Below are 13,118 nucleotides of genomic sequence, written 5' to 3' on the forward strand. Positions count from 1 at the left end.
CAATAAATTGGCTAAATTCAAATTAGAGGGGTTTGTTTCTATTTTAAACAGGAAGTGTTAGAAAGTTCTAAAGAGGAAATATTTCAACACACCATCTAAGCATGAAGCAGAAGCCACTCATAATTGAGTTTGCTACCACCAACCTCAACAGCAAGAATTCCAATCCTGCTGCTACAAATTAAGTGTCACTCTGATTTTATTACTGCTATGTAACCCAGTTTTATACTCTCTGGTTGTCACTTAATGTTCCAAAAAAGTATTAAAGAGAAAATATTATTATAGTGATGAGTCCATGCACTGCAGCCATCTCAACATTATGCCAATTATAAGGCCTATCATTTAAAAAGAAAACTGTTTGTTTAACTTATTTATCCAAAACTCAGTGTAACATAAACATATTTGCCATCAGACTTTGGATTTCTGGGTTAAATAGCATATAAATATGATTAGAGGCTTAAAGTTTACACTTTTCTGGTTCTCTCAAGTTTTTTTTTCAAAATAGCATATGCCTTTCTAAACAATTATTAGTATATTTTTTAAATGAACTTTAAAAGGCATATTTTCCAAAAGCAAAATACAGCTCCCATTGGTAAATGACAATGTTGAGATACAACAGACAACTTCTCTTGGGAACCATTTAATCAGTGCTCACTTTTACACTCTGTCCAGAAATGTCAATGGCTTTAAAATATAGAAGTATATTACACAGCTAAATTTATACTAATTCAGTATTGTGCAATATTTAGTACTTGTTCTAGCTCTCTCTTGCTGAATAGTAAGCCATTCCAAAACTTAAGGAATTATTTATTAATATTTTTATTGTTATTATTTATTTAGTAATTTTAAATAACATTACTTCTCATGGTTTTGTGGGTTGATAGGCACTACAAAAGTTCTCTTTTGGAGTCTTCCTTGTAGCTGCTGTTGGTTGGCTGCTGCTGAAGTTACCTGAAAGCTCAACTAAGCTAAAGAGCCTAGACAGGTTACTCAGATGGCTGGCAGTGCATATTGGCTGCTGTGTGTGATATCTTTCTGACCTCTCCATGTTACCTGGAGTCCTCACAACTTGGTAGTTGCTCCTAAGACACACAGGGAAATACTACAAAACTTCTTATGACCTAGACTTGGAGGTCCTAGAATATGACTTCTGCTGCATCCTATTGGTAAAGCAAGTCATTGCGACCAGCACAGATTCAAGAAATGGGAGATTCACCTCTACCTGTCAGTGTAAAGAGCAGCATGTGCATGCAGGGAGGAAAAGCATGTGCATGCAGGGAGGAAAGAAATTGAGGGCATCATCTTGAAGACTATCTTACCACACCATTATTCCAAGTAATGAACATTTTATTTTAGATGGATAGTACTAGCTACTCATGTCTACCCCAGAAACCCAAGCTAGGCATTGACATATTGAAAAGAATGTCAGTACCATTAAAAAACTCTAGAAAAATCACGTGATGACAGGTTAATTTAGTCTCTCAATTACATCACTATAATTCCCTTCTTTTAACCCTAAATATGGTAAAACAGAATTGAATTCTACAAAAGTCTTTCATCTGTTTTCCTATGGAATAATTAACAAACCCAATAAATGTTTAAAGAACATGAAGTTCAATTTATTTTAGATTTATACCTCTTGATTTCAAAGCTTATAGAAATCCAGAGAACTAATCATCATAATCCATAACGCCTGGACCAGAAGTCATTGTTCTAAGAGTATCCTGTGGGATGCTAAAAATGTATTACTAACTGGGAAATTTAAAACTCTTTTGCTGGTGATTTTAAGAGAGCTGACTAGCTCATCAGCACAATTCACACAGATTAAGAATGGAGATTACTCTGCTGAGTGGATTCATAATGATCATAAAAATAATTCACAAATGAGAAAAGAGATAGAGAAGGGGAAACATACTGTCAATCACTAAAATAAAGGGAATATTCAAATGGTCTGATTTTGTATTTTTCAAAACAAAGGCAGCTTATTGTGATAGAATAAGAATCCCACTTGTATGTCTTCTTTTGAGAAGTGGCTGTTTATGTCCCTTGTCAATGTTTTAATGGAACGGTTTTCTTAATGTTCAACATCACTAATCATCAGGGAAATGCAATTCAATGTAAGATACCATCTCATATTATTCAGTATGGCTACTATTAAAAAGTAAAAAAATAACAAATTCTGGTTAGACTTCAGAGAAAATAAAATGCTTACACACTGTGGCGAGAATGTAAATTAGTTTAGCCACTGTGAAAAGAAGTTTGGAGATTTTTCACAGAATTTAAAACAGAAGTACCATTAAACCAGCAATTCTGTTACCTAGTGTATATTCAAAAGAAAATTAAACTCATCTACACAGTACCTCGCTCCTGCCAGCAGAAGGAACTTTTAGAAGGCAAAACCAAGAAATATTTGCTTTCCTGGCTTTGAAAGTTCAAAATCAACAAAATATTACATCAAAAAATAGTCAATATACTACCAAATTATTATAAAATAAGCACTTGTGTTCAATTCTAAAATAAATAAGCAAACCAGAAGGAAGGAAGGGAGGAAGAGAGAGGGAAAAAAAGGAAAGGAAAGCAAACTCAACATTCCATTTTATTGATATCCTGTATGATACTTTTATTTGAGCCAATTATTGACATGATCAAAACTTCTTCTTAGATTTCCTATTCTGGAATCATTGCTAGGAAAAGACAATTGTTTAGTTATAATAAATTATGTCCTTTGAGATGCTTGCTCCTAGACACCCCCAACAGCAATATAAAACAGCTTTGGTGTACTCGCCAGGTTGAGAGCGGTACAGCTGAAATACTGGATGGCATTTGCAATTTCTGATCTCTGCACTTACTTGTCAAAGCAAAAAATGAAACAAAATCTTTGAAATGACACTGTGAAGCCCATTTTTCAGTCAGGGACTATCTCCAAATGGAAACAAGCTGGCTGTACCATTTAACTACAATTTCACTTCTGATTTATATCTAGCCTGCCTGAAAGTTTGGAATATTATATGGCACAAGATTGGAATTAAGTATGAGGGAGCTGGACAGTTCAATAAATAGTAAGTGCCGAATCCTCAAAGAAAATAGCTTCTTTAAAAATGACTGGCTTTTCTGTTAGACTCATCTTCAGTATTCCTGGAGGCAACTCTACATTTGACATACATGGTGGGAAACACATTTCAACTGTTTATAACCTCATGATGTGAAACTTGACTACCTAAACAATGAAAGGAAATTTGACTGGAGTTCTAACATACTAGCATGGCTTGGTGATCCCTACATATTGAAGAGTTTAAGTCAAGACTATGCGAGTTGTCATTATGGGCATTATTCATCCTAGAGTCCAAGTATTTTCCTTCCAGTTTCATTGATATTTCTTTCTGCTATAATATGTTTCCCAAATTTTCATGTAAATAACTTTTTATGACCTCAATTGTGTTTTTTTCTAAATATTTTTTATTATTGTTTTAAATATTGTACAATATATACCTGTTTTGGCAAATTCAAATGAGTCATAAGTACATACATTAAAAATACTATTTTTGGTCCCGTTCTATCATCACTCTTGCACAAACCCAGATAACCTGTTCTAATACTTTGGTTTATGCCCCTTGGAGTATTTTAAAAATGCTCCCCCCTTTTAAAATAAATACCTACACACAGTGTTTTTTTTTTTTTTTTTTAATGAAAACATCATATTTTCCTATTGTATTTTTCCATCAATTTGCCTTTTATACTTTCCATCTTTTGGATTTTATTCCAAATCAACATGTATAGATTTTTCTCTCTCTTAACCAATAGTTGAATTATCCAAATTAAAATATATATTTTTAATTAAAAAAAAAAAAAAGAAAATTAAAAATTCTACAAAAAGAAACCCCACGTGCACTTGTATATTCATCATATTGCTATTCACATTAGGGAAGGCATGGAATTAAATTATGTGTGAATCAATAATTTGGATAGAAATATGTGCTACATAAACACCATAAAATACTATGCACACATTAAAAAAAATACAATCATGTCCTGTGCAGCAACATGGATGCATCTGGAGGCCATTATCCTAAGGAAATTAATACAGGAACAGAAAACCAAGTACCACATGTTCTTGCCTGTAAGTGGGCTCTAAACATGGAGTACTGATGAATATAAAGATTTCAACAATAGACACTGAGAACTACTAGATGAAGGAGGAGGGCAGGGGTGAGAAACTATGGGTACTATGCTCACTACCTTGGTGATACGATCAATTATTCCCACAATATATGCTCAATACTGTGGTGATGGGATCAACAATGTCCCACATAGCTCAGCATCACACAATATATCCACGTAACAAACCTACAAACATACTCCCTGAATCTAGAAAATTTAAGGCAGAGACAGAGTAAGAAGGCAGAATAGAAGCCTACACCACTCATCCCCCATGTCAAAACACCATATTTTCACAACTTACTATATTCAAGAAGCACTGTCAAAGGGACCAAAAATTAGGTGAGCAATCACAGTATCTGGTATTAACTTCATATCACTGAAAAAGACATTGGAGAAGACAAAAAAATGACAGCCTAGAAACACCGATGCCACCTCTTTTTCAACCACCAGTAGTGACCACATGGTGCAGAGATTGTATGTTTGGGAGAGGAAGAGCACAGTTTCTGAGGCTTTGCAATAAACTCAGTACTACCCTGTCACAGTAAAAAGCAGAGCCAGATTGTACTCAGCTGACATCTGCCAATAGGAGGAGAATTTTGATTGGCCCTAGCAAAAGGAAAATCTCCCATCTTGGTGCTGGGAGCTTGAGTCTTTACAAGCCTTGCCATCATGAGTTGAAGTGCTATTGGACCCTAAGAGAACTTAAGGGGCAGTCTAGGCCACAAGGACTTCCATTATTAAGCAAGCCATACTGCGGAGCTGGGCTTGGAGCCAGTGGAATGTGGAGGGTGGGGAGAATGTGGCCTACTGAGACACCAGCCAGAGCAGCTAAGGGAGTGCTCACAACACCATTACCCCACCCCCCACCCAGCAGCAGCCACAAGCCACAGAGAAACCTGTGAATTTGTGAGAGAGAGAGCACAGTGACTGGAGGACTTAACATTAAAGTCAGTGTTGCCATGTCAGTAAAGACCTGGCAGAATTCATCACCTGCTGACTAAAGAACCCCAGTACCCAGAATAAAAAACAGTGATACCCAGGTAATACACCATGGGTATTGGGCTCTGAGAAGTGCTAACTTCAGGTGTGACCCAGCACATTTCCAGCTGTGGTAGCTATGGTGAAAGACTTCTTCTGTTTGAGAAAAGCAGGGGGAAAGTAAAGGGAACTCTGTGTTGCACCTCATATACCAGCTTAGCCACAGTGGGGTAGAGCACCAAGCAGATTCTTAGAGCCCCTGAGTCCAGACCTAAGGTCTTGGCCAGCATTTCTGCACTTGCCCTGGGCCAAGGGTCGAGTCTCAGGCATTGCAGAATTTATCACAAGCAAACTAAAGAGTCCTTGGGCTTTAAGTGAGAAATTGATGATGATTTGGCAGAACCCTCCCGTGGGCTGGTGGTGTTGGCAGTCATAGAAGAGGCTCCTCTGCCTGCAGACAGGGGAAGGAAGGGTAGAAAATATTTTGTTTTATGCCCTAAGTGCCAGGTTAGCTACAGTAAAATAGAAGATCAGGTAAATTTTGAAGATTCTATACTTTAATCTCTGGCTCCCTAGCACCTATGGACCCACTCATGGCTAGGGGAACTTGCCACCCTATAGGCAGATACACAAATCTGGCTGACTTTGCCATCTATTAATCCTGGAGTCCTAGGGCTTTGAGTAAACTTATATGGTAGCCAAGTAGTGGTTACAGTGGGCCTTGGGTGAGACCAAGTTCTGTGCCTACTTCAGGTGTGAACCAGCACAGTCTCAGTGGTGGTGGCCACAGGGGTGCTTATGTTACCCCAACTCCAGCTCCTCATGCCTCAGCACAGAAAGAGAGACTCTGCTGGTTTGAGAGAAATTAAGGGAAGAGAACAAGAGTCCCTACTTGATAAATCAAGATAATTTTTCTTGATGTTAATCCAAGGCCGCCAAGGCAGCACCTCTACATGTTTGCATAAACTACTGTGTTATTGTGTTTGGGACCCAAGTCTCTTTGAATACCTGGAAAGCATTCCCAAAAATAATGGGCACAAACAAGCCCAGACTCTGAAGACTACAAGAGACAACTCTTCAATGCCCAGATATAGATGAACATCTACAAGTATCAAGACCATCCAGGAAAACACGACCTCACCAAACAAGCTAAATAAGGCACCAAGGACAAATCCTGGAAAAACAGAGATTATGTGACCTTTCATAAAGGAAATTCAAAATAGCTGGTCGAGGTAATTCAAAGAAATGCAATATAACACAGAGAAAAAATTCAAAATTCTATCAGATAAATTTAACAACAAGATTGAAATAAAAAGAATAAAGCAGAAAATTTGAAGTTAAAATGCAATTGTCATACTGAAGAATGCATCAGAATTACTTAAAAGCATTGATCAAGAGGAAGATAGATTTAGTGAACTTAAAGTCAGACTATTTGAAACTACAAAGTCAGAGGAGACAAAAAAGAATAAAAAATAAAGCATGCCTACAAAATCTAAAAAATAGCCTCAAAATAGCAAATCTAAGAGTTATTGGCCTTAAAGCAGAGGTAGAAAAAGAAATAGGAGTTAAATATTTATTTAAAGAAATAGTGTTAAATAATATTAAACAATTCCCCAACATTTGATATCAACATTTGAGTACAAGAAAGTTACAGAACATCAAGCAGATTTAGCCCAAAGACTACCTCAAGGCACTTAACTGAACTCCCAAAAGTTAAGGATAAATAAATGATTCTAAAAGCAGCGAGAGAAGAGAAACAAATAACATTCAGTGGAACTCCAATATATCTGACAGCAGACTTTTCAAGGGAAAATTTACAGGCTGAGAGAATGGCATGACATATTAAAAAAGCTAAAGGAAAAATAAGACTTTTACTTTAGAATAATGTATATGGCAAAAACGTCCTTTAAACTTAATGGAAAATAAGAACTTTTCCCAACAAACAAAAACTGAGGGATTTCATTAACACCAGACATGTCCTACAAGAAATGCTAAAGGGAGTTCTTCACCTGAAAGAAAAAAAGTGAGTGAGCAATAAGAAATCATCTGAAGGTACAAAAGTCACTAGTAAGAGCACACGGAAAAACGCAGAATATTATAACATGGTAATTATGGTGTGCAAGATCACATGGACACAGGAAGGGGAACATGACATTCTGGGGACTGTTGTGGGCTGGGGGGGAGGGGGGAGGGATAGCATTGGGAGATATACCTAATGCTAGATGACGAGTTAGTGGGTGCAGCGCACCAGCATGGCACATGTATACATATGTAACTAACCTGCACAGTGTGCACATGTACCCTAAAACTTAAAGTATAATAATAAAAAAATTAAAAAAAACTCAAGTAGAAACAGTAAGCAATAAACCAATAAAAAATAATAACTACAACATATTTCCAAGACATAGACAGTAAAATAGGGAATGAAGAGAAACAACAAAAAGTTTAAAAGAATGGCAATAAAATTAAAGTGTAGAGTTTTTATTAGTTGCTCTGCTTGTTTGTTTGTGCAATCAATGAAAAATTGTTCAGTCTAAAATGATGTGTTATAAGATATTATTTTCAAGCCTTACAGTAACTTCAAATCAAAAAGCATACCACAGATGTACAAAAAGTAAAAAGGAAGAAATAAGATTGTATTACAGGAGAAACCACCTTCACTAAAAGGAAGACAGGAAGACAGAAAAGAAGGACAAGAGGACAAAAATCAATCAGAAAACAAATAACAAAATGGCAGGAGTAAGTGCTTATCAATAATAATGTTGAATGTAAATGAACTAAATACTCCAATCAAAAGACAAATAATGGATGAATGCATAGAGAAGCAAGACAATAATCTGTGACCTAAAAAAAAACATACTTTACCTATAAAAATACATTTAGACTGAAAATAAAAGGATGGCAAAAGTTACTCCATGCCAATAGAAACCAAAAAAGAGCAGAAATAGCTACACTTATACCAGACAAAAATAGATTTCAACAAAAGACTGTAGGAAGAGATTAAGAAGGTCATTATATAATAATAAAGAGATCAATTCATCAAGAGGATATAATAATTGGAAACATATATGCACCCAACACTAAAGCACCTAGATAAATGAAGTAAATATTATAAGAGCTAAAGAAAGAGACCTCAATACAATAATGGCTGGACACTTCAACACCCCACTTTAGTCATTGGATAGACCTTCCAGACAGAAAATCAACAAAGTAACATCAGACCTAATCTGCACTATAGAACAAATGAACCTAATAGTTATTTACAGAAAATTTCATCCAACAGCTACAGAATACACATTCTTCTCCTCAGCACGTGGGTTATTCTCCAGGATAGACCATATGTTAAGTAACATGTCTAAAAACATTCAAAAAAATTGAAGTAATATCAAGCATTTTCTTTGACCACAATGGAATAAAACTAGAAATCAATTAAAAATGAATTTCAGAAACTATACAAGCACTTGAACATTAAACAGTATGCTCCTGAATAATCACTAGGCCAATAAAAAAGTTAAAAAGAAAATAGAAAAATTTCTTGAAACAAATGATAATGGAAACATAGCATAGCAAAACCTACGGAATATAGTAAAAGAGGTACTATTATAAAACAAAAATTTATAACTGTAAGTGCATATATAAAAAACAGAGAAACTTCAAATAAATAACCTAACAGTGCATCTTAATTAAATAGAATAAAAAGGCCAAACCAACTCAAAATTAGAAGAAAAGAAATAATAAAGATTAGAGTGGAAATAAAGTTAAAATGAAGAAAACAATGCAAAAGATCAATGAAACAAAAAGTTGATTTTTTTTGAAAAGTAAAACAATTCACAAATAATTAGACAGGCTAACTGAAGAACAGAGGAGATACAAATTTATAAAATCAGAGTTGAAAAAGGATACATTACAAGTAATGCTTCAGAAAATCAAAGGGTCATTAGTGGCTACTATGAGCAATTGTATGCCAACAAATTAGAAAACCTAGAGGAAATTCTTAGAGAAACACAACTTACCAAGATTGAACTAGGAAAAAATCAAAAACCTGAACAGACCAATAATGAATAACAAAATTAAAGCCATAATAAAAAAGTATGTAGGACCAGACTGAAAAATAGAGAAGGAAAGAAGATTTTCAAATTCATTCTTTGAGGCTAGTATTAAACTGATATCAAAACCAGACAAAGACACATTAAAAAAGCCAACTATGGGCCCATATCTGAGAATATTGATGCAAAAATTTGCAAAAAACCTAGCAAACTGAATTAAGCAGTACATAAATAAATAATTCATAATGACCAAGTGGGATTTATCCCAGAGGTGCAACGATGGTTCAACATGCAAATCAATCAATGTGATATATCATATAAACAGGATGAAGGGGCCAGGTGCAGTGGCTCATGCCTGTAATCCCAGCATTTTGGGAAGCCAAGGTGGGTGAATCACCTGAGATCAGGGGTTCAAAACCAGACTGGCCAACACAGTGAAACCCCATCTCTATTAAAAATGCAAAAATTAGACAGGTGCTGTGGTGGGCACCTGTAATCCCAGCTACTCGGGAGGCTGAGGCAGGAGAATCAGTTGAACCTGGGAGGTGGAGGTTGCAGTGAGCCAAGATCATGCTATTGCACTCCAGCCTGGGTGACAGAGGGAGACTTCATCAAAAAAAAAAAACCAAAAAAACAAAACAAAACAAAACAAAACAAAACAAAAAAAACAGAATGAAGGACAAAATCCATATAATCATTTCAATTATGCTAAAAAATTATTTAATAAAATTTAATATTCTTTAATAATTAAAAACCCTTTGAAAACTGGGTATGAAATGATAGCTCAACATAATAAAAGTTAGATATGACAGACCCACAGCTAGTATCACTGTAAGTGGGGAAAAAGTAAAAGCCTTTCCTCTATAATCTGGAAGATGACCATAATATCCACTTTTACCACTGTTATTCAGCATAATTCTGAAAGTCCTATCTGGAGCAATCAGACAAGAGAAAGTAATAAAGGCATCCCAATTGGAAAGGAAGTTAAATTATCTTTTTTGCCGATGATATAATCTTATATTTGAAAAAGCATAAAGACTCCTCTGATAGAGTTTGAATGTGTGTCCCCTCCCAAATCTCATATTTAAATGTAATTCTCAATGTTGGAGGTGGGCCTGGTGAAAGGTGATTTAACCATTGGGGTGGATTACTCACAAATGGCTTAGCATCATCCCACTTGGTGCTATCCTCATGATAGTGAGTGAGTTCCCCTAAGATCTGGTTATTTAAAAATGTGTAAAAACTCACCCCTGTTTTTTGCTCCTGCTTTTTGCCCTGCAATATGCAAGATTCTACTTCAACTTCTGCCATGACTGTAAAGTTCCAGAGGCCTTCCCAGAAGTGTATGCCAGTGCTATGTCTTCTCTACAGCCTGTAGAGTCAAAAGCCACTTAAACCTCCTTTTTAAAAAATAAATTATCCAGTCTCAGGTATTTATAGTGATGCAAAAATAGATTAATACAGAAAGTTGGCACCAAAGAGTGGAAAATTTTTATAAGCATACCTGAAAATGTGGAATCAGCTTCGTAATTGGGTAAACAGGCAGAGGTTGGAAGAGTTTGCAGGACTTAGAAGAAGATAGAAAAATGAAGAAAACTTGAGATTTTCTTAGAGACTGGTTGTATGGCTGTGACCAAAATGCTGATAGTGATCTGGACATAAAAGTTTGAATTTGAAAGTGATGATTTAGGGTTTCTGTTGGAAAAATGTCTAAGTAGCAAAGCATTCAAGATGTGGCCTGGCTGCTTCTAACAACCTATGCATACATGTTGCAGCAAAAAAAAAAAAAAAAAAAAAAAGTTGAAACTTATACTTACAAGGGAAGCGTAGTGGAAAATCTTGAGAACTTTGCAGCCTAGTTATGTGGCAGAAAAATAAATAGCTTTTATAAGAGAGAAACTCAAGCAGGCTGTGGAGCAACCACTTGTTAGAGATACTTGTATAACCTGAAAAAAAGCAAGTGTTGATAGCCAAGACAATGGGAAAGAGGAATTGAATGCATTTTAGAAAGCTAAAATGCAGCTCCCCATCACAGACCCTGAGTCCTAAAAGAAGAGAATAGTTTCTGGGATCAGGCCCAGGACCTGCTGCCTTGGGTAGCCTTGGAACATGGCTCCCTGCATCGTAGCCACTGCTCCAGCTCCAGGTGTAGCAAAAATTGGCCCAGTTACAACTATAGTCACTGCTTCAGAGGGTGCAAGCCATAAGCCTTGGTAGCTTTCATGTGCTGTTACGCCTGTGGGTGTACAAAATGCAAGAGTTGAGACTTGGGAGCCTCTACCTTTATTTCAAAGGGTGTATGTAAAAGCCAGGGTGTGCAGGCAGAAGCATGCTGCAGAGGTGGAGCTCTCATGGAGAACCTCTACTAAAACAATGCAGAGAAGAAATGTGGGGTTACAGTCCTCATGTAGGCTCCCTACTGGGGCATAGACTAGTAGATCTGTGAGGAGAGGATCACTGTCCTCCAGACTCCAGAATGGTAGATCTAGCTACAGCTTGCACCTTGGACCTGGAAAAGCCAGAGGCACCCAATACCAGTCCATGAGAGCAGCTGTGGGGGCTGAACCATGCAAAGACACAAGGTCAAAACTTCCCAAAGCATTAATGTGCCCTGGAAATGGGATATAGGGTCAAAAATAGTTATTTTGGAGCCTTACAATTCAATAACTCCCATTCTGGGTTTCAGACCTGCATGGGTCCTGTGGCCCCTTTCTTTTAGCTGATTTCTTCCTTTTAGAATAGGAGTATTTACCCAATGCCTGTGCCCCATTTGTATCTTGGAAGTACCTAACTTGTTTTTTGTATTTTAGGCTTATAGGAGGAAGGAACTAGCTTTGTCTTAGATGAGACTTTTGACTTTTGAGTTAAGGCTGAAATGAGTTAAGACTTTGGGGATTGTTGGGAAGTCATGATCGTATTTTGAAATATGAGAAGGATATGAGATTTTGAATGGCCAGGGGCAAAACAATATAATTTGGATATGTGTTCCCACCAAAATGTTCTATTGAAATGTAATCCTCAATGTTGGAAGTGGGCCTAGTGGGGAGGTGATTGAAACAGGAGGGCAGGATTTCCATGAACAGTTTGGCATCATTTCCTTTGGTGCCATTCCCACAATAGTAAGTTTTCATGAGAGCTGGTCATCTACAAATGTATAGCACTTTCCCCCTGCCCTTGCACTACCATGTGATATGCAAGCAGCGGATTTATTTTTCACCTTGATTGTCAGTTGTCAGGGGCTTCCCCAGAAGTAGAAGCCAGGGCTATGCTTTATGTACAGCCCATAGAATGATGAGCCAATTAAACCTATTTTCTTTATAAATTAACCAGCCACCAATTATTTTTATAGCAATGTGGGGGTGGCCTAATATATCCACCAAAAAACTATTAGAAGTGATAACTTGAGTAAATTTGCAGAATACAAAATCAACATATATAAATCAGTAGAATTTCTATATGCCAAGAGTCAACAAACTGAAAAAGAATTCAAAAAAGTAATCTTATTTGCAATAGCCACAAATAAAACAAAATGTGTGGGAATTTACCAAAGAAATAAAAGTCCTCAACAATTAAAACTGTAAAACACTGATAAAAGAAATGAAAGAGGACACAAAAAAATGGAAAGATATTTCTTTGTTCACAGATTGGAAGAATCAGTATTTTTAAAAACGTCCATACAATCCAAAGCAATCTATATATTTCATGCCATCTCTATCAAAATAATGACATTCCTCACAGAAATAGAAAAAAGTTCTGAAATGTTTATGGAACCACAAAACACCATGATAGTCAAAGCTATGCTGAGTGTATAAAACAAAAGTGGAGGAATCCCATTACCTGGTTTTAAATTATACTATCAAGCTATAGTAATTAAAACAGCATGATGCTAGGATAAAAACAGACATAAAGACAAATGGAACAAAATAGATAACTTAGAAA

This window comes from Homo sapiens, chromosome 12 (genome assembly GCF_000001405.40).
Source record: "Homo sapiens chromosome 12, GRCh38.p14 Primary Assembly".
In the NCBI taxonomy this organism is placed as follows: Eukaryota; Metazoa; Chordata; class Mammalia; order Primates; family Hominidae; genus Homo; species Homo sapiens.